The sequence below is a fragment of the Homo sapiens genome, chromosome 4 (genome assembly GCF_000001405.40).
Source record: "Homo sapiens chromosome 4, GRCh38.p14 Primary Assembly".
NCBI lineage: Eukaryota > Metazoa > Chordata > Mammalia > Primates > Hominidae > Homo > Homo sapiens.
This window is the reverse complement of record NC_000004.12, coordinates 349,074-371,259: the sequence shown is the minus strand read 5'-3', so window position 1 is coordinate 371,259 and position 22,186 is coordinate 349,074. Positions and strand designations below refer to the sequence as shown.

General features: G+C 40.3%; 1 protein-coding gene and 1 non-coding gene across 9 annotated transcripts in view; both read right to left on the bottom strand.

Moving 5' to 3' along the window:
- The window catches only part of ZNF141 (zinc finger protein 141), a 47,055-nt gene that overhangs the window by 13,609 nt on the left and 11,260 nt on the right, over positions 1-22,186 (bottom strand). Inside the window, exon 4 of one of the 8 annotated variants that reach the window (NM_001348280.2) lies at positions 10,029-13,357. The exons of 6 other annotated variants lie outside the window; for them this stretch is intronic. In NM_001348280.2, the coding sequence (NP_001335209.1) occupies positions 13,302-13,357 (56 nt within the window). In that variant the 3' untranslated portion in view covers positions 10,029-13,301. Of the gene's footprint in view, positions 1-10,028; positions 13,358-22,186 lie in introns of those variants that run through there. One more of the 8 variants, NM_001348279.2, reaches the window with a different exon arrangement.
- MIR571 (microRNA 571) lies at positions 21,008-21,103 on the bottom strand. Its single transcript, NR_030297.1, has one exon. It is a non-coding gene; the product is annotated as a microRNA 571 (primary transcript).

Here is a 22,186-nt window from a genome sequence, read left to right as displayed (position 1 = left end):
ACTCCATCTCAAAAAAAAAAAAAATTCCAGAACAAAAATTAAAAATGAAGATGTACAAAGTTTTAAAATTTGACCTGAATAAAACTCAATGAGCTAAATGGTAACAAAACTAAATATAATTAAAATATATATATATATATAAATGAAAACATTAAAAATATAAAAAACATGGAGGTGAAAAATACAAAAATAATGCCTGAGAAATTTTCAAAAGTTAAAAAAAGATGTGGCCAGGCATGGTGGCTCATGCCTGTAATCCCAGCACTTTGAGAGGCCGAGGCTGGTGGATCAGGAGGTCAGGAGAGTGAGACCATCCTGGCTAACACGGTGAAACCCTGTCTCTACTAAAAATACAAAAAAAATTAGCTGGGCGTGGTGGTGGGCACCTGTAGTCCCAGCTATGCGGGAGGCTGAGGCAGGAGAATGGTGTGAACCTGGGAGGCGGAGCTTGCAGTGAGCCAAGATTGTGCCACTGCATTCCAGCCTGGGCAACAGAGCAAGACTTTCATTTCAAAAAAAAAAGAAGGAGCTCAACAAACTTCAACTAGGATATACAAGGAGATTTATAACAAAGCACATAATAAGCAAAGTTTTAAAAGTCAAAGGCAAAAATGGAATCTTAGAAGCGGCAAGATAAAAGTGATGTGTGATTTGTAAGTATGCTCTTATAAGATAACAAGTGAATCTGTCAACATTTTTTCAGACAAGAGAAAGTTGCGATATAGTTAACGTGCTGAAGGAAAAATAGCTTCTAAGTAGGAATAATATAACCAGTAAAACAGTCCTAAAAATGAAGAAAAAGTAAAGGCCTTTCAAGATAACCAAATGCTGAAAAGTATATTAGCACAACACCTGCCTTATAAAAAAAAATGCTGAACTATCTTCCATTGAAAATAACAGGATGCAAGAAAAAAAATATGATGATATGAAAATACATAACTTTCTGAAAAACATATGCACAAACACAAATATAAAGTTCTGTATCATTATAATAGTGCAAAAAAGTTTTTCTCTAAAATTTAAAGGATAAAAGCATAAAAATGATTATAAACTATTCATCATAATCTGGTAATAAATATACAGCAAAAAAATATGATTAGTGACATCAATAACAACATTCAGGGCAGATGTAAAGAGGAAGAATTTTCAAATGCAATTCAAGTTACATTTTTAAGAGTTTAAAATATATTATTTTGGCCAGGCCCAGTGGCTCATGCCTGTGATCCCAGCACTTTGAGCGGCTGAGGCAGGTGGATCACGAGGTCAGGAGATCGAGATCATCCTGGCCAACATGGTGAAACCCCGTCTCTACTAAAAATACAAAAATTAGCTGGGCATGGTGGCGTGTGCCTGTAGTCCCAGCTACTCAGGAGGCTGAGGCAGGAGAATCGCTTGAACCCAAGAGGCAGAAGTTGCAGTGAGCTGAGATCATGCCATTGCACTTCAGCCTGGGCGACACAGTGAGACTCCCTCTCAAAAAAAAAAAAAAAAAAAATATATATATATATATATATATATATATCTCTTTAAGAAATTTTTCAGAATTCCCAAGATACCACAAAGGTATAGATACACAAAAGTATAAGAAGTAAAGTCCTATCAACACAAAAATCTAAAAGACAAACAGGAAGACAGAAAAAGAAAATAAGGGACAGAGATAAAATAATCCAGTAAAACAATTTATAAAACAGGTAAGCCTTTCTATTTCAGCAAATTATTCAAATATTTATGAAGTAAACTTTCCATTCAAAATACATGCACCAAATAAAGGGACTGATTGCAAAAATTAAAAAACAAGATCCAACTTGTTTTTCTACAAGAGTCACTTGAGGTCTAATGATTAAAGGAGACTGAAAAAGGCAAGATGAAAGAAGACATTTCATGGAAATAACCAAATAAGAGGAGAACAGGTCCAAGTTATATAACACAAAGTACATCTTAAGTCAAAAACTCTATTTCATAAAATATACTTTAACTAAAAGCTCATAAGGGGCAAAGGAAGACATTAAACAATAATAAACAAGTTCATTTACTTAGAACCCATGATAAATGTGGGTATACATATATTAATGTGTGTGTGTGAGTGTGTGTGTGTGTGTGTATCTTACACTAGGGTTCAAAATATACAAAGCAAATACTGACAGAATTAAAGCAAGATATAGGGAGCAATGTAATTGTAGTAGGATATTTCAATACCCCAATTTCTATAATGAATAATGAAACAAGACAGAATATTCATAAAGGAATAGAAGACTTGAAAGCAGTATAAAACAATTTTGCCTAAAAAGAAGATGTCTAAATTCCTTAATGCAATCTCCAGATTAAATGCAATCCCTGTCAAATTTCTAATTAAATTCTTCCAGAAAAAGAAACAGCAACCCCCAAATTATATGGAATTTCAAGAAACAATGAAGCACTCAACAATCTTCAAAAAGAGTAACAATGTCAGAAACACTACAGTTCTTGATTTCAAAAAACATACAAAGCTAAAGAATTAAAGCAATTTGGTATGAGTATGAAGGTGAACACCTAAATCAATAAAATCCGGCAAAAATATGAACTCTCACACATATGGTCATATAAAGAGTAATTTGGACACTCACAATTATTGTAGCATTGTTACTGAAAGCAAATAAATGAAAGTAATGAAAATTTCTCTCACCAAATCAATGGATAAATATAATTTGAAATATTAAAATAATGAAACATTGGCCGATTGGCCAGGCATGGTGGCTCATGCCTGTAATCCCAGCAGTTTGGGAGGCCGAGACAGGTGGATCGCTTGAGGTCAGGTGTTCGAGATCAGCTTGACCAATGTGGTGAAACCCTGTCTCTACTAAAAATACAAAAATTAGATGGGTGTGGTGGTGCACGTCTGTAATCCCAGCTACTTGGGTGGTTGAGGCACAAGAATTGCTTGAACCTGGGACGTGGAGGTTGCAGTGAGCTGAGATGGTGCCACTGCACTTACATTCTGACTGGGTGACAGAGCAAGACTCTGTCTCAAAAAAAAAATCCTTTAAAAAAATGAAACATTACTGTTTATAAAAAGCAAAAAGTATCCTAATATGTATAATAAAGATAAATGTTGATGGCACTGTGTAACACAAAATAAGTCAGCCATGAAGAGACAAAAATTGCATGAGTCAACTTACATGAGATATATAAAGCAGTCTGACTCTAAAATAGAAAACAGAATTGTTTTTGTAAAGGGCCAGAAAACAGAAAAAGTAGGTAGTTGTTTAATGTGTATGAGTGTTAGCCTTGCAAGATAAACATATTCCAGACAGAGTGCATAAGAATATCGATATAATATGACTAAGGTAAATACTTAAAAGTATTTATGGCACGTGTATACCTATGTAACAAAATCTGGATGTTCTGCACGTGTACCCCAGAACTTAAATTATGACAACAAACTTTGGAAAAAAACAGTATTTAAGATTGTAAAGTTTTGGCTGGGCGCGGTGTAATCTCAGCATGTTGGGAGGCCGTGGCGGACAGATCATGAGGTCAGGAGATCAAGACTAGCCTGGCCAATATGGTGAAACCCCGTCTCTACAAAAAATACAAAAATTAGTTGGGCATGGTGGTGCGCACCTGTAATCCCAGCTACTCAGGAGGCTGAGGCAGAAGAATCGCTTGAACCTGGGAGGCAGAGGTTGCAGTGAACTGATATCGCACCACTGCACTCCAGCCTGGGTGACAGAGTGAGACTCCACATCAAAAAAAAAAAAAAAGATTGTAAAGTTTATGTGTTTTTGACAATTAAAAATAGTATCTAAAATCTGAGATACAGACATATGACAGTTTTTGAACTTATCTTCAAGTCGCAAAAGTGTTTCTCCCACACACAAATATAGATTTACAAATAAATAGAAAGTAAAATTAGGAGGATTTCAATGACTATTCAAAACCACCATTGAACACACATAAACAGAACAAGTAAACAACTCATAAACAATACAAAACCAATACACATACAGATAGACTCATATTGGAAATAGACATATCAGTGATCCATATTTCACTTGTGCTCCAGTCTTACAGTGTACACAGCTGAATGCTGTCATACACAATTATAATATAAAATAAAAACATACTTGTCCTGTTCCAGATCTCAAAAAAAGAAGATTTCTGCTCTTTCCTATCCAGTATGATATCAGCTATTAATCTGTCATATAGGGTCTTTACTGTATTGAGGTACATATGATCTATACCTAATTCGTTGAGTTTCTTAAATCACAAAGCCATGTTCAATTTTGCCAGTGTTGCTTCTACATCCACCAGTTGGCCAGGTTCAGTGGCTCACGCCTGTAATCCTAGCATTTTGGGAGGCTGAGGCAGGAGGATTACCTGAGGTCCAGAGCTCAAGACCAGCCTGGTCAACATGGCGAAACACTGTCTCTCCTAAAAATACAAAAATTAACCAGGTGCAGTCCAGCTACTCCCAGCTACTCAGGAGGCTGAGGCAGGAGAATTGCTTGAACCTAGGAGGCAGAGGTTGTGGTGAGCCAAGATCGCACCAGTGCGCTCCAGTCTGAGCGACAAAGCAGGACTCCATCCCAAATTAAATAAATAAAATAAAATATGTCTAGCAGCAAACCGAATTGAAAAGGTGAACACTCTCTACACTGATAATTATAAAACATTGATAATGCTGGGTGTGGTGGCTCACGCCTGTAATCCTAGCACTTTGGTAGGCCAAGGTGGGCAGATCACGAGGTCAGTAGTTCGAGAGCAGCCTGACCAACATGGTGAAACCCCGTCACTACTAAAAATACAAAAATTAGTGGGGCGGCACACGCCTGTCATCCCAGCTACTCAGGAGGTTGAGACAGGAGAATCATTTGAACCCAGGAGGCAGAGGTTGTGGTGCACTGATATTGTGCCATTGCACTCCAGCCTGGGCAACAGGGTGAGACTTTGTCTCAAAAAGCAAACAACAACAAAATTGATAAAAAACTGAAAAAGACATAAAAATTGAAAGATATTTTTCCTCATGAATTGAAAAAACATTACGAAAGTGGCCATACTACCCAAGGTGATCTACAGATTCAATGCCATCTCTATCAAAATACCAAAGACTTTTTTCACAGCAATGGAATAAACAAGCTTAAAATTAACCAGGACCAACCAAAGACCCCCAAATAGCAAAGGTAATCCTGGGCAAAAAGAATCAAGCTGGAGGCATTACACTACCTGACTCCGAAATATGCTATAAAGCTATAATAAGCAAAACAACATGATACTGGCATAAAAACAGACAGATCAAACTATCCAGTGAGCCCAGTAATAAATTCATGAAACTAGAGGCAAGTGATTTTCAACAAAGATGTCAAGAACACACATTTGGAAAAAGACAGTCTTTTCAATAATTGGTGCTAGGAAAATTGATTACCTACATGATAATCAAAAAATGAAACTAGGCCCCTAGCTCTTACAGTATAAAAAACTCAATCGCAAATAAAGATTTAAATGTGAAACCCAAACCTATAAAGCTATTTGGATAAACATAGAGGAATGCTTTACCACATATTACAGAGCAAAGAATTTTTAAGTAAGACCTCAAAAGCACAGGCAAAAGAAGTAACATTATGCAAATGGGATTACAACAAACTAAAAATGTTTTGCACAGCAAAGAAAACGTTAACAAAGTGAAGAGATAATCTACAGAATGAAAGAAAATATTTGTGAAATATACACAACAAAAGATAAACTTATAGAATATTTAACAAACTTAACAACAAAAATAACACACAATTTAAAAATAGAGCAGAGACCTCCCGTTCCAAGATGGCTGAATAGGAACGGCTCTGGTTTGCAGCTCACAGCGTGACTGACGTAAAAGACGGGTGATTTCTGCACTTCCAACTGAGGTACCTGGTTCATCTCATTGGGACTGGTTGGACAGTGGGTGCAGTGCAGCCCACTGAGGGCAAGCTGAAACAGGGTGGGGCATCACCTCACCTGGGAAGCACAAGGGGTTGGGGGATTTCCCTCTCCTAGCCAAGGGAAGCTGTGACAGACTGTATCTGGAAAATCGGGATCTCCTGCCCAAATACTGTGTTTTTCCAATGGTCTTAGCAAACGGCACACCAGGAGATTATATCCCACGCCTGGCTTGCCAGGTCCCACACCCACAGAGCCTTGCTCACTGCTAGCACAGCAGTCTGAGATTGACCTGCCAGGCAGCAGCCTGGCAGGGGGAGGAGCGTCCACCATTGCTGAGGCTTGAGTAAGTAAACAAAGCAGCCAGGGAAGCTTGAACTGGGCGAAGCCCACTGCATCTCAACAAGGCCAGTTGCCTCTGTAGATTCCACCTCTGGGGGGAGGGCATAGCTGAACAAAAGGCAGCAGAAACTTCTGCAGATTTAATCGTCCTGTATGATGGCTCTGAAGAGAATCGTGGTTCTCCCAGCATGGTGTTTGAGATCTGAGAATGGGCAGACTGCCTCCTCAAGTGGGTCCCTGACCCCTATGTAGCCTAACTGGGAGACATCTCCCAGTAGGAGTCGACTGACACCTCATACAGGCAGGTGACCCTCTGGGACAAAGCTTCCAGAGGAAGGATCAGGCAGCAATATTTGCCGCTCTGCAGTCTCTGCTGGTGATACCCAGGCAAAGAGAGTCTGGAGTGGACTCTAGCAAGAGTAATAAAGACTAATAAAGAAGAAAAGAGAGAAGAATCAAATAGATGCAACAAGAAATGATAAAGGGGATATAACCACCGATCCCACAGAAATAGAAACTACCATCAGAGAATATTATAAATACCTCTATGCAAATAAAGTAGAAAATCTAGAAGAAATGGATAAATTCCTGGACACATACACCCTCCCAAGACTAAAGCAGGAAGAAACAGAATCTCTGAATAGACCAATAACAGGCTCTGAAATTGAGGCAATAATTAATAGCCTACCAACCAAAAAAAGTCCAGGACCAGATGAATTCACAGCCGAATTCTACCAGAGGTACAAAGAAGAGCTGGTATCATTCCTTCTGAAACTATTTCAATCAATAGAAAAAGAGGGACTCCTCCCTAACTCATTTTATGAGGCCAGCATCATTCTGATACCAAAGCCTCACAGAGACACAACAAAAAAAGAGAATTTTAGACCAATATCCCTGAGGAACATCGATGTGAAAATCCTCAATAAAATACTGGCAAACCAAATCCAGCAGCACTTCAAAAAGCTCATCTACCATGATCAACTCGGCTTCATCCCAGGGATGCAAGGCTGGTTCAACATACACAAATCAATAAACGTAATCCATCACATAAACAGAACCATCAACAAAAACCACATGATTGTCTCAATAGATGCAGAAAAGGCCTTCGGCAAAATTCAACAGCCCTTCAAGCTAAAAACTCTCAATAAACTAGGTATTGATGGAACGTATCTCAAAATAATAAGAGCTATTTATGACAAACCCACAGCCAATATCATACTAAATGGGCAAAAACTAGAAGCATTCCCCCCCGCCTTTTTTTTTTTTTGGAGACAGAGTCTCACTGTGTCGTGCAGGCTGGAGTACAGTGGCACGATCTTGGCTCACTGCAAGCTCCGCCTCCCGGGTTCATGCCATTCTCCTGCCTCAGCCTCCCGCGTAGCTGGGACTCCAGGTGCCTGCCACCACACCCGGCTAGTTGTTTCCATTTTTTTAGTACAGACGAGGTTTCACGGTGTTAGCCAGGATGGTCTCCATCTCCTGACCTCATGATCTGCCCGCCTTGGCCTCCCAAAGTGCTAGGATTACAGGCGTAACCCACTGCGCCCGGGCAGGAAGCATTCCCTTTGAAAACTGGCACAAGACAGGGATGCCTTCTCTCACCACTCCTATTCAACATAGTGTTGGAAGTTCTGGCCAGGGCAATCATGCAGGAGAAAAGAAATAAAGGGTATTCAATTAGGAAAAGAGGAAGTCAAATTGTCCCTGTTTGCAGATGACATGATTGTGTATTTAGAAAACCCCATCGTCTCAGCCCAAAATCTCAAGCTGATAAGCAACTTCAGCAAAGTCTCAGGACACAAAATCAATGTGCAAAAATCACGAGCATTCCTATAACACCAGTAACAGACAGAGAGCCAAATCATGAGTGAACTCCTATTCACAATTGCTTCAAAGACAATAAAATACATAGGAATCCAACTTACAAGGGATGTGAAGGACCTCTTCAAGGAGAACTACAAACCACTGCTCAATGAAATAAAAGAGGACGCAAACAAATGGAACAACATTCCATGCTCATGGATAGGAAGAATCAATATCATGAAAATGGCCATACTGCCCAAGGTAATTTATAGATTCAATGCCATCCTCATCAAGCTACCAATGACTTTCTTCACAGAACTGGAAAAAACTACTTTAAAGTTCATATGGAACCAAAAAAGAGCCTGCATTGCCAAGACAATCCTAAGCCAAAAGAACAAAGCTGGAGGCATCACGCTACCTGACTTCAAATCATGCTACAAGGCTACAGTAACCAAAACAGCATGGTACTGGTACCAAAACAGAGATATAGACCAATGGAACAGAACAGAGCCCTCAGAAATAATACCACACATCTACAACCATCTGATCTTTGACAAATGTGACAAAAACAAGAAATGGGGGAAGGACTCCCTATTTAATAAATGGTGCTGGGAAAACTGGCTAGCCATATGTAAAAGCTGAAATTGGATCCCTTCCTTACGCCTTATACAAAAATTAATTCAAGATGGATTAAAGACTTAAATGTTAGACCTATAACCATAAAAACCCTAGAAGAAAACCTAGGCAATACCATTTAGGACACAGGCATGGGCAAGTACTTCATGACTAAAACACCAAAAGCAATGGCAAGAAAAGCCAAAATTGACAAATGGAATCTAATTAAACAAAAGAGCTTCTGCACAGCAAAAGAAACTACCATCAGAGTGAACAGGCAACCTACAGAATGGGAGAAAATTTTTACAATCTACCCATCCAACAAAGGGCTAATAACCAGAATCTACAAAGAATTCAAACAAATTTACAAGAAGAAATCAAACAACCCTATCAAAAAGTGGGCAAAGGATATGAACAGACACTTCTCAAAAGAAGACATTTAGGCAACCAAAAGACACATGAAAAAATGCTCATCATCACTGGCCATCAGAGAAATGCAAATCAAAACTACAATGAGATACCATCTCACACCAGTTAGAATGGCAATCATTAAAAAGTCAGGAAACAACAGGTGCTGGAGAGGATGTGGAGAAATAGGAACACTTTTACACTGTTGATGGGACTGTAAACTAGTTCAACCATTGTGGAAGACAGTGTGGCAATTCCTCAAGGATTTAGAACTAGAAATACCATTTGACCCAGCCATCCTATTAATGGGTATATACCCAAAGGACTATAAATCATGCTGCTATAAAGACACATGCACATGTATGTTTACTGCGGCACTATTCACAATAGCAAAGACTTGGAACCAACGCAAATGTCCATCAATGATAGACTGGATTAAGAAAACGTGGCACATATACACCATGGAATACTATGCAGCCATAAAAAAGGATGAGTTCTTGTCCTTTGTAGGGACATGGATGAAGATGGAAACCATCATTCTGAGCAAACTATCACAAAGACAGAAAACCAAACACCGCATGTTCTCACTCACAGGTGGGAATTGAACAATGAGAACACTCAAACACAGGGTGGGGAACGTCACACACCGGGGCCTGTCGTGGGGTTGGGCGGGGAGAGGGATAACATTAGGAGATATACCTAATGTAAATGACAAGTTAATGGGTGCAGCACACCAACATGGCACATGTATACATATGTAACAAACCTGCACGTTATGCACATGTACCCTAGAACTTAAAAAAAAAAAAAAACAGAAAGATATTCTGACACATCTTACAAAAACAAAGCCTGAGATCATTCCGTTAAAAAAAATAGTCAAAAAGAGACATTATATAATTATAGTGATACAAATATAAAAATCAGCCAAAAGTATAGAAACAGTAAGTAAAATGGTGTTTTCCAAGAGCTGAAGAGAGGAAAAGGGCAGTTTATTTATTATTACATTTTACTTTCGTAAGATAAAATTAATCTAAAGATCCATTGCAAAATAATGTAAATGTACTTAGCTCCACTAGACTGTACTTGAAAATGTTTAAGATGGCAATTTTATGTTTTTCATCACAATTAAATATTTACATCTACCTAAAACGGTTACATTTTTCAAAAATCACCTTCAAATAACAAGTGCTTCTCTCACAGAATAATATATAATCAAACAATAAATAGATGGTAAATTTACAGTTTCTTTGACTGCTCATCTACACAAGGAAATACTGATGACTACCCAAGAAAATGAGTAATTTATAAACAAAGTAGGTCAATATTTATACAGGCAAATACCATATAGAAAACTTTTATAGGCAATAGAAAATTCGCATTTATATATTTTTTAAAATTTGCCCAAAGTGATTTTTGCAGGCAAATACCACATAGATAACTTTTATAGGCAACAGAAATGTCACATATATATTTATGTATATTTTTTTAACTTGCTCCAATGATTTTTATTGGAATTAAACAATACATGGTCATAAAAGGTACAAAGTTGAAAATTACCATACAAATATGAAGATTAAAAACACACAAAAAAGTAAATGATCAAGGAGAACCTACATGAAAAGAGACTCCCCAGTAAAATACAGTTGAAAACAAGAGAAAATTCTGACCTATAAAATATTGAATATAATACAGACGTATCATAAAAACAATCCTTTAAATAACTAGTTTTCAACTGTGACTTATGAAGAGCTGGCATTTTGAATCTTTGACATGCCATGCGCCGCAATAAAAGCAAATGCATTTCAATAATTAATAAAATGCTCTAATGAGAATGAAGCATTGCAATACATTTACTTATTACACAATGTGTAAATCTGAGTACTTTATTTCAGAAATTCTGAATCTGTAATCAGATAAATTTGACATAGAACATATCGGAACATATGGCATAGCAAGATGGCAGAATAGGAGGCTCCCTACCCACACTTTCTACAGTAACAAAAATGCAGCAGTTAAGCCCTGACAAAACAACCTTTACGGCAACTTTGGAATCCATGTGTAAGACTGCGAACCGAAGACTGAGGAGGGCTGTATTGAGAGGGTGTGCCCTTGCTTGAGTGGCATGCTTGCCCACAATACAGAATGAAATGTAATTAATTCTCATTGTAAACATAGCTATCATTTGGTTTTGTTTATGCCACTAGCACCATCTGCCAAGACACTTAGGAGGATTCATAATGTCCTGTGTCTCAGGTGAAAGGCCTTTAGATGTTGCTTCTGTCTGTGATCTCTGAATTACCCCAAACTGCACCCCTTGCACATGTCAGTCATGATGTGGAAGAAATCCTACTCACACAGGGACCCACAGACAGAAATATCCATCTCTGCCCCTGGATGTAGGCTTGCCAATATTTATTTGATGGTGGATCTTGACGTGGCACTACAACTTGGCTCCAAGTCCATGCAACCAAAATCCAGGAGGAGTTTTTCCTGACCTGTGACCTGCCCAAAAGCACAGCTACATGTGTCCCTGTAGGCATGCTGGCTGACTTTATTCCCACCGTGAATTGTGAAGCAGTCCTATAACCAAGCTCCAGTCCCTGGCAGCTAGAGGCAGGGAGAAGTCCTGCCCACCTAGAAATCTGGAGGGAGAAATGTCATGAACCCAGAACAAACCTGAAGACTTTGGTCTCAGCTGTGTATCCTGAAGCAGCCCTATGAATTAGTTTCACACCCTCTCAGCTGTGATCAACGCTCAGTAACGGTCATCTAGAAACCTGTCCAATGACTAGGTTAGAGCATTTCCAAACATCTCGCAAGAGCCAAACAGCAGGAGCCACACCTACTCATATTTATTGTATCAGCATCTCCATTTGCAGATATTAACTGGGTTTTTTTTTTCTCAGCACCAGTCTTATTGATCAAGATCTTAAAGAAAGTTCAGTCTCCTCAGAAAATGGAATCCTCAACTGTCTGATGCTTAAATAACAGGTCTGCCAAGCATTAACTTCACTGTAGACCCAGTAGTAGTTACGTGACCAGGATCCAATGCAGTTGACTGTGATCCTAGTGAAAATCTCATCAGCCCAGAAAACCAATAGAAGATATTTACCTCCCTAAACTAGTCTGTAATGACTGAAAGAAGTATTTACTCCTTCAGATGCAAGAACATCAAAACAAGGCTTCACAGATTATGAAGGATCAGGCAAACCTAACAGCACAAAAAGAAACTAAAAATGCTCCAGGAACAACTAACAATAAAACACAGATCTAGAAAATGTCTAACAGAGAATTCAAAGTAATTATCTTAAAAAATCTCAATAAGAGTCCAGGCGAGGAGGCTCACACCTGTAATCCCAGCACTTTGGGAGGCCGAGGCGGATGGATCACAAGGTCAGGAGATCGTGACCATCCTGGCCAACATGGTGAAACCGTCTCTACTAAAAATACAAAAATTAGCCAGGTGTGGTGGCACATTCCTGTAATCTTAGCTACTTGGGAGGCTGAGACAGGAGAATTGCTTGAACCCGGGAGGCGGAGGTTGCAGTGAGCCGAGACTGAACCACTGAACTCCAGCTTGGCAACAGAACAAGACTCCATCTCAAACAATCAAACAAAAAAACAACAAAAGAAAAATAAAATGCAAAAGTACACAGATTACTAATTTTTTTTTGCAACAATGCATGAACAAAATGAGTTATAAAAAAGAAGGAGAGCTGGGCACAATGGCTCACACCTGTAATCCCAGCACTTCAGGAGGCTGAGGCAGGCGGATCACTTGAGGTCAGGAGTTCGAGACCAGCCTGGCCAACATGGTGAAACCCCATCTCTACTAAAAATATAAAAATTAGCCAGGTGTGGTGGCTCATGACTAATCCCAGCTACTTGGGAGGCGGAGGCAGGAGAATCACTTGAACTCGGGAGGTAGAGGTTGCAGTCAGCCAAGATCGTGCCATTGCACTCCAGTCTGGGTGACAAGAGCGAAACTCCATCTTTAAAAAAAAAAAAAAAAAAAAGAACGAGAAACTTAAAAAAGAACCAAATACATATGCTGGAGTACACAATAGAACTAAAAAATTTAACAACAAGCTTTAACAGAAGACTCAGTTCTACAGGAAAAAAAAATAAGCAAACTTAAAAGTAAGTCATTTGAAAGTTCCTAATTAAAACTTAAAGAATGAGGCCAGGCATGGTGGCTCATGCCTGTAATCCCAGCACTTCGGGAGGCTGAGGCGGGCGAATCACGAAGTCAGGAAATCGAGACCATCCTGGCCAACATGGCGAAATCCTGTCTCTACTACAAATACAAAAAGAAAAAAAGAAAAAATTAGTCGGGCGTGGTGGCGCGCGCCTATAGTCCCAGCTACTCAGGAGACTAAGGTAGAGAATTGCTTGAATCCGGGAGGCGCAAGCTGCAGTGAGCCAAGATCGTGCCACTGCACTCCAGCCTGGGCAACAGAGTGAGACTCTGTCTCAAAAAAAAAAAAAAAAAGAAAAAAGAAAAAAGAAAGAGTGACTGAAGCATTTGGGTCCCACACTGCATAATTATCTGTAGGAATGTACATCTCTTAAGAGGTTCAGGAGACAGAGAAAAAAAAATTTTTTTAATTGTGTAAAGGTATAATGTCTTAAATTTTCCCAATCTTGGAAGGAAAATAGACATTCAGTTTTATGAAGCTTAAAATCTCTATAGCAAGAACCTCATAAAAATTGCTCAGGACACATTATAATTAAACTGCCAGAATTCAAAGACAAAGAGAGATTCTTTTTTTTTTTTTTTTGAGACAGAGTCTCACTCTATCACTCAGGCTGGAGTGCAGTGGTGACATCTCGGCTCACTGCAACCTCCACCTCCTGGGTCAATATAGCAGGACGCTGTCTCTAAAATAAATACATAAATAAAATAAAGATCTCAGAAAGCTATTCAATCTTTTAAAAAAAGAAATGACTGGGCCTGATGGCTCATGCCTGTAATCCTAGTACATTGGGAGGTCAAATCAAGTGCTTGAGGTCAGGAGTTCAAGACCAGCCTGAGCAACATGGCAAAACCCCGTCTCTACAAAAAGCACTGACAAAATTAGCTGAATATGGTGGCATGTGCTTGTAGTTCCAGCTACTCAAGAGGCTGAGATGGGAGGATTGCTTGAGCCCACAAAGGTTGAGGCTGCACTCAACTGTGAATGCACCACTGAACTATAGCCTGAGTAACAAAGTAAGACCCTATCTGTACAAAACAAAAGGTTAAATTGAAGGCAAAATTTTAAAATGAGAGGTTTCATGTAAGTCTCTTGGAAATTACAAAAAAAAAACTAGTAGATGCACATACAAGAAAAAGAAGGCAACAAAAACAAAACAAAAATTCAAGAAAACACAAAAGATGACAGCATGAAGGAATTAAAAAACAGAAACCACTAAATGGTCAGTAAACAATGAATAAAATGGCAGTAATAAGTTCTTATCAATCGGTAATTCATTTAAATATAGAAAGATTTAGCTATGCAATAAAAACACACTGCTATGGTTTTAGTGTCCCCTCAAAATTCGTGTTAAAATTTAACTGCCATTGTGATAAAATTAAGTGAGGCCTTGGTCGGGTGCGGTGGCTCACACCTCTAATTCCAGCACTTTGGGAGGCTGAGGCGGGAGGATCACGAGGTCAAGAGATTGAAACACAGTGAAACCCCAACTCTACAAAAAATACAGACAATTAACCGGGTGTGGTGGCACGCGCCTGTAGTCCAAGCTACTGGGGAGGCTGAGGCAGGAGAATCGCTTGAATCTGGGAGGTGAAGGTTGCAGTGAGCTGAGATCACTGTACTCCACTGTACTCCAGCCTGGGTGACAGAACAAGACTCTGTCTCAAAAAACAAACAAACAAATAAGAAGTGAGGCCTTTAAGAAGTTATTAGGTCATGAGGGCTCTACTTTTATGAAAGGATTAATAGTATTATTCTTTTTTTTTTTTTTTTGAGACGGAGCCTTGCTGTGTCACCCAGGCTGGAGTGCGGTGGCATGATCTCGGCTCACTGCAACCTCTGCCTCCCAGGTTCAAGAGATTCTCCTGCCTCAGCCTCCTGAGTAGCTGGGATTACAGGCAGCCGCCACCGCACCCGGCTAGTTTTTGTCATTTTAGTAGAGATGGGGGTTTCACTATCTTGGCCAGGCTGGTCTCAAACTCGTGACCTGTGATCCACCCGCCTCAGCCTCCCAAAGTGCCGGGATTACAGGTGTAAGCCACTGTGCCCAGCCTAGTATTATAATTCTAAGAGTGCGTTAGTCATCATGAGAGTGGGTCTATTACAAAAGTGAGCTCTGGTGTACACCTTCCATCATCCTCAAGACTTTGGTCATGTTGTGATGTGGAAATGTGATTCTCATGAGGTGGGAATGACATGCTCTCGGACATCTCAGCATCCAGGATTGTGAGCTAAGTAAACTTCTATTCTTTATAAATTACCAACCCTAGAATATTGTTATTAAGCAAAAAACAATCTAAAACATTCACAGAATGTCTGAATCGATTTTAAAAATCAACAATATGCTGCAAACTAGAGACTTACTGTAGATTTAAGGAAATACATAGGTTAACGATTCAAAAATGAAAAGAATATTCCATGCCAATAATAACTTAAAAAGTGTAGGAATGCCTATATTTATATGAGACTAAATAGACATCTAGAAAAAAATCTGTCATAGCTGGGCACGATGGCTCATACCTGTAATCCCAACACTTTGGGAGGCCCAGGCAGCAGAATCACCTGCAATCAGGAGTTCGAGACCAGCCTGGCCAACATGGTGAAACCCTGTCTCTACTAAAAATACAAAAATTAGCCAGACGTGATGGTGGGCACCTGTAATCCCAGCTACTAGGGAGGCTGAGGCAGGTGAATTGCTTGAACCTGGGAGGCAGAGGTTGTGGTGAACCGAGGTTGTGGTGAACCAAGATTGCACCACTGCACTCCAGCCTGGGTGACGGAGTGAGACTGTCTCAAAAAATAAATAAATAAATAAATAAAATAAAATAAAGAAAAAAATTCGTCATTAAAAAAACTTCATTATATAGTGATGAGGCTAATTTGTCAAAAGAATATAACGATTAAAAATATTTATGTATCCAATATTGGAGCACACAAATATATAAACATATGTTAACTAAACTGGAGAAAAAAACAAATATGATAGTAACAGTATAATTTATATTCTTCTCAAACACACATGGAACACTCTCCAAGACCTGTCATAAATCTGGCCCACAACAAAAATAAACAAGTCTTTTCATTTTTAAACAGACTGAAATCATATCAAGTTTTTAAATCACAATTTTATAAAACTAGAAATCAACACCGGAAGGAAATTTTAAAACTTACAAATAAATGGATATTAAACAACATGCTTCTGAACAACCAATGGGTCAAAGAAGGTAAAAGGAAATCATAAAGTATTTGAGAAAAATGAAAATAGAATCATAATATATAAAAATGAATGTAACAAAAGCAGTTCTGGGAATTTTATAGTAATATATTTTATATTTTAAAAATCTCAAATAAACCAACTTTAATCCTCAAAAACTTGAAAAATAACTAAATAATCCCAATGTTAGCATAATAAACAAAATAACAAAAATCAGACCAGAAACAAATTAGAGAATTAAAAGACAACAAAAAAGATAAAAGGCACAGAAAGAATTTACATATAAAAGTTTTCTAAATCAAAGGTTTTAAGAAAAGGGAGGAGAGTAAATACTCTTTATTTTCCAATGTGAGGATTAAGCCTCTTATTTCTATTTTGCATTTACATTTACAATAACCACACCCAAAAACTTTGCCTTGAACTCATAGAAACCTGATTTCCAGCAGGCCCTGGACTTAGGCACCTGCAGGGTGACCTTGGGCATGCTGTGTTCACATGAGAGAGGGTCTGTGGGGGGAAAATGCAGAATAAGAAAAGGTGCTATCAAGAACCATGGGTGAGGATCAGTGCACAGTTGGTAAAAGGACTGGTTAGTGCTCTAGATATTCACCCAGGCAGGGCACCTCTGACTTATAAATGTGTGCATACAGGGAGATGAGATGGTCAGGTGATCCAGAAGCCTATTCTACTGGAGAAAACAGGTTACTGGTGCAGATTCAAGATCTGGCAGGTAGAAAGAGCCCATGAGTCTTCTGGGCACTTATGTAGCCTATTAGTGGAAAACCCTAGAAGCAGAGGTGCTCTCAGCACAATTCCTGAGTGAAGCTTTGTCATGAGAGAAGCACGGCCATACCATTGCTTAGCGTGCATGTGTGTGAATGAGCAGAAATCACATTGTAGCAGCAGGTGGAGAGAAGAGTCTGCCCTCAGAAGTCCTTCCCTTTAAGTCCTCAGTCCCCTATGGAGGAGACGTAGAATCACATTACACCTAACTGTGACAACTTGTGTGCAAAAGAAGTAAAACTCTCAGCGGGGAGTGGTGGCTCATGCTTGTAATCCTAGCATTTTGGGAGGCCAAGGTGGAGGGATCACCTGAGGTCAGGAGTTCCAGACTAGCCTGGCCAACATGGTGAAACCTCGTCTCTACTAAAAATACAAAAAATTAGCCAGGCATGGTGGCACACACCTGTAGTCCCAGCTACTTGAGAGGCTGAGGCAGGAAAATCACTTGAATTCAGGAGGTGGAGGTTGCAGTGAGCCGAGATCTCGCCACTGCACTCCAGCCTGGACGAGAGTGAGACTCTGTCTCCAAAAAAAAAAAAATAATAATAATAATAATAAATTAATAAACTCTCCATTCTTCAACAGACCCACCATCTCCTTCTGACCAAGTCTGCTGTGATTTTTTTTTTTTTTAGACAGGGTCTCACTTTGTCACTCAGGCTGGAGTGCACTGGCATGATCTCAGGTCACAGCAGCCTTGACCTCTGAGGGTTCAAGCAATCCTCCAGACTCAGTCCCCCAAGTAGCTGGGAATACAAGTTCGTGCCACCATGCCTGGCTAACTTTCTGTATTTTTGGTAGAGGTGGGATTTCACCAGGTTGCCCAGGCTGGTGCTGAATTCCTGACCTCAAGCCATCTGCACTCCTCGTCCTTCCAAAGTGCTAGGATTACAGGCGTGAGCCACCACATCCAGCCTGATTATCTTTATTCCAACACCAAATATATGGAGTTTGCTGAACACCAACCAATCCTCCAACACAAACTGGGTGCCCAACAACTCAATTCTGACAACACCCAGGGTCAGCACAGACCCCACAAGTTCAGACCCAGTTCCACAACACTGCTTCCGCTGCACATGCCAGTCACAAACTCCAGGGGCCCACCTACACTTCTGAGCAACTGACTATAAATCATGGGCTTCCCTAACTCCCTCCCTCAAATTTAATAATTTGATAAAACTACTCACAGAACTTAGCAAAAACGATTTATATGTTTTCCAGGTTATTATATTGAATACAGCTCAGTAAAAGCCAAAGGGAAAAAATGTATAGGACAAAGGAAAGTGGGGGAAAAGATGAGGTGGGTAGTGAATCTTGGTAAATAGCTATGACTAAGGTCTCTCCAATCCTTTGTGATCCGCAAGAAACGCTTATTGCAAAGAAATACCCTTTTCACTATGATTTTGAAGATGCTCCCTCTTAGATATCACAAATTCACAAACTCTACATTCCCCCAGGCCCCTGGACTCTGCTCCACCTTCAGTCTGAGCTAGCATACAACCCCTCTTGATGCCCCTCCCAAGAACAGGCTGACTTCAGGGTGAAACATTCTCCAATCCTGAATCTGATTTTGCCATTCTCCATTCTGCCTTCTCCCTCTCCCACCTTCCTCTTTTTTTTTGAGACGGAGTCTCGCTCTGTCACCAGGCTGGAGCGCAGTGGTATAGTCTTGGCTCACTGCAGCCTCCGCCTCCCGGGTTCAAGTGATTCTCCTGCCTCAGCCTTCTGAGTAGCTGGGACTACAGGTGCCCACCACCACGCCCGGCTAATTTTTTGTATTTTTAGTAGAGATGGGGTTTCACCATGTTGGCCAGGATTGTCTCCATCTCTTGACCTCCTGATATGCCCGTCTCGGCCTCCCAAAGTGCTGGGATTACAGGCGTGAGCCACCATGCCTGGCCCTCCTACCTTGTTTCTAATCTTGTTTGCTCCTCTGTATGAAAAATAGCCTTTTTCTGCCTCATTTTGGAGATGACTTCAGGTCTTATGCTTGATGCTTTCCCCACTGCAATACTCCTTAGAATAAACTCACTTCTTACCTACATCAAAATTTATTTTACTTGACAATATGTAGAAACAGCCCCATGACAATAACAATTACACCCTCTCAGAGGATATCACAACCTCCTCTCATCCAAACCCTCACTGCCTCTGCCTGTGGATACCCAGCTTTCCAGGGCTCCTTCCCTGTCTAATTTGAGCAGGCTGAGACACCTGAAAGAAAGGTTCACCAGCAACACATTACGGGGCTATTGATGACCTGCTTTGGCAGAATCAAGATTGACCTTACCCTGCAGTCAACAGGCTTAGGTCTCGGATTCCCAGTCAAGGTTATTCACTTAGTTTTATATAAAAAGAACTCAGTGGTTGAAAAATCCAGGAAAATGCCTCAAACTCAGTGCTTATGTTTTAGGAGGAAAGAAAATTGTAAGGCACTTACATTTTATACTTCAACAAGTATATGGAAGTATAAATGTTTCTCCGGCCAGGCATGGTTGCTCACGCCTGTAATCTCAGCACTTTTGGAGGCCGAGGGGCGGATCATGAGGTCAGGAGACCACCTGGCTAACATGGTAAAACCCCGCCCCTACTAAAAATTAAAAAAATTAGCCAGGCTTGGTGGCAGGCACCTGTAGTCCCAGCTACTCGGGAGGCTGAGGCAGGAGAATAAGTTGAACCTGGGAGGCGGACATTGCAGTGAGCCGAGATCGCGCCACTGTACTCCAGCCTGAGTGGCAGAGCGAGACTCTGTCTCAAAAAAAAAAAAAAAGGTTTAACTGGCTCATAGTTCTGAAGGCTGTACAGGAAGCACAGCAGCTTCTACTTTTGGGGAGGCCTCAGAAAGCTTCCAGTCACGGCACAAAGCAAAGGGAGAGTGAGTCATCTCACACAGTGGGAACAGGAGCAAGACAAGAGTGAGAGGGGAGGTGCCACATGCTTTTAAAAAATAAGATCTCAGGCCGGGCGCGGTGGCTCACGCCTGTAATCCCAGCACTTTGGGAGGCTGAGGTGGACGGATCATGAGGTCAGGAGATCCAAACCATCCTGGCTAACATGGTGAAACCCCGTCTCTACTAAAAAAAAAAAAAAGTACAAAAAATTAGCCGGGCATGGTGGCAAGCACCTGTAATCCCAGCTACTCTGGAGGTTGAGGCAGGAGAATGGCATGAACCCGTGAGGTGGAGCTTGCGGTGAGCCGAGATCATGCCACTGCACTCCAGCCTGAGCCACAGAGCGAGACTCCATCTCAAAAAATAAATAAATAAAAAATAAGATCTCGGGAGAACTCACTCACTATGGCAAAGACAGTACCAAAGGGGCTGGTACTAAACTATTCATGAAAAGCCAACCCTACGATCCAATCATCTCCCTCAAGGCCCCACCTCCAACAATAGGGATTACATTTGACATGAGATTTGAATGGGGACATAGATCCAAACCGTATAATTTACAAAAGTGAAAAAGTGAAAAAATTCAAACATCCTTCAATGAATGAAAGATTTTAAAAGATGTGGCTTATACACGCAATGAAATATTCTTTAGCTTCAAATGAAAATGTCTTGTCAGATGCTACAATAAGGATAAATCCTGAGGCCATTATTTTAGTGAAATAAGACGCTAACAAAGTGACAATGCATGATTCCATTTTTATACAATATTTTAAGTAGTAAGCACATAGAAAGCAGAAGTAGAAAGGTGCTTGCCTATGGTTAGGGTTGTGAAACCTCAGTGGAGCCAGAGATCGAGGGTTATTTAGAATAAGCAGGCCCTCACTCAGATGGCCAACTCAAGAGCCCATAGACATGGCTACAGACAAGGAAATGGCACACTGAGCTTGGTCTTACTGAGGATTCTGAAGCAGTTCTGTAACCTCTCTCAAATTCAATCTCAGCTACAGTCCAGACGTGGTCCTTCCCATCAAGAGACCTGCAGGGAGATACACACCCAGCCATGGCCCTGGAGGCAGGCCTGTATATCCTGGCCTCAGCTGTGCTCCTGAGCCCTGTGACTCAGTTCTAGCCCTCACAGTCACAGTCCATGGCCAGTTGTACACAATCAGGGACCCAAAGAGAAAAGTGTGGAAACTGTTCCCAGGTTGTCAGTAGAAGCCAAACCCATTCATACACCTGGTATTTGGCCCATCATATGCAGACAAACTTCAAAACCCTAGTCTACTGCCTGCCATATAGATTAATATCCTCAAGGAAATCTAATCTCTCCAGGGCCCAGAAATAATCCATGACTGTCCAAATCTCTGGTAATACAATCATCAAAGGCAGACCCCACAGCAGACCCAGCAGCACCCTTGTGACCCAGCTACAACCCTTCTTCTCTGCAACCCCAGAGGTAATCTCATCAGCCTGGGACTCAACAAAAGGAGATCTTTACCTGCCAAAAATAGTTTATACAAACTGTGAAATTTGTCAAATGCAGACACAGGGCTGCTTCAGAGACCACAGCCGGGGACAAGACTTGCAGGCCTGCCTCCAGGGCCACAGCTTCTATCTTAACATGTGACTGGAAGTTTGTATCAAAACAATTAGACAAGGAAAAGGAGAATAAAGCTCTCCAGAGTGGAAAAGAAATAAAAAAGTTACTGTTTGTGGATAATATCATCATGCATATACATAAAACCCTAGAGTAAAATAAGAAAAATTGATTGAACTAATAAATGCATTCATTAAAGTATCAGGATACATAATCAACATATAGATGCTTGTTGGGATTTTTTTTTTTTTGAGACAGGGCCTCACTCTATTGCCCAGGCTTATCTCAAACTCCTGTACTCACATGATACAACTGCCTTGGGCTCTGAAAGTGCTGGGATCACAGAAATGAGCCACTGCACCTGGCACCACATACAAATATTTCTTGCATTTCCATAGAGTAAAAACAAACTTTCCAAAAATAGAAACCATTTCCATTTGCAATA